At 31.7% G+C, this 1,044-nt stretch overlaps 1 annotated feature.

The window, feature by feature from the left end:
- Window positions 302-471: an enhancer, noted in NCBI's record as "experimental_93741 CRE fragment used in MPRA reporter constructs". NCBI's record gives its function as "activates a minimal promoter by MPRAs in K562 erythroleukemia cells, with activity observed for the non-introgressed 6:66589062 variant allele {active_cell/tissue: K562}" and the evidence as "EXISTENCE:reporter gene assay evidence [ECO:0000049][PMID:34662402]".

Here is a 1,044-nt window from a genome sequence, read left to right on the forward strand (position 1 = left end):
CTGTATGAGCAAGAATAGCCATGTGCTGGATTCTGTGGGGTTTTATTAAGGGCTTGCTTATTCACACCTGTCTTATTTTAACTGTAAACATTTAGGAAACAGAAGTATCTTCACAAACAGATATTGATCTCCATAGGCCAAGTTTACACTCAGTTATAATGCATCAGTGCTTCAGTATGTTTGTCCTAATATAGTTGAAAACACAGTTCTCCACACATTTGAGTTTGCATTATATGAGGAGTGCTTCCTATTTTTTTGTTAGTTTGTGTTCTATAAATAAAAAGGCATTGGAAGTACACAATTCTTCATTCCTTTAGGTTTCTTTTTGCTGAATGTCAGTTGGTCTCCATGCCTCACAAAAGGGCCACAAACATATTCATCACACATACACACAACACTCAGAGTGTGTTCTCAACAATCATACAGGGTGATGTTCACATTTGAATAATAACATAAGTTAAAGGATTGATTCACTTATGAGTTTACTCACTTGGAATTTTAGTACTGGAATGGTCCATAGTAAATTTGAAACCCTGACATTTTTTAAAAGTAAAAGCTACTTTCCTTTCTTTCATGTTATCTACATTTCTCTTTTATGTTATAAATGTATTTGCAGATAGCATAAGCCATAAGAAAATTCATGTAAAATTAAATACATTTAAAACTAGGTTAAAATAATAAAACAAAAAAAATGCAGGAAAGCAAGATATAACAACCAATATTAGGTTACATATATACATATTTTCAATCTTTTATACACTTCATACTGGGTAAAAAAATTTTATTATGTTTTCCGTTAGCCAATATGAAGACAGAAATAGTTACAGATTTCACAAGTTTCATAAGACAACAAAACAGATACTCAGGAGAACAATTATTATAAGCATTGAGGCCAGGTCAATGTTTCATTGAAACGTTTTCAACATGAGAACACTATGTAATGTAATTAATTAATTTCCTCAAAATAATCCAGCTAGTAAAAATGCCTGGGGGACTCATAAGGCTACTTCTTGTTAGAACACAAATTACAAGTTTGCCTTGGAA

The sequence above is a fragment of the Homo sapiens genome, chromosome 6, assembly GCF_000001405.40.
Source record: "Homo sapiens chromosome 6, GRCh38.p14 Primary Assembly".
Classification (NCBI taxonomy): domain Eukaryota; kingdom Metazoa; phylum Chordata; class Mammalia; order Primates; family Hominidae; genus Homo; species Homo sapiens.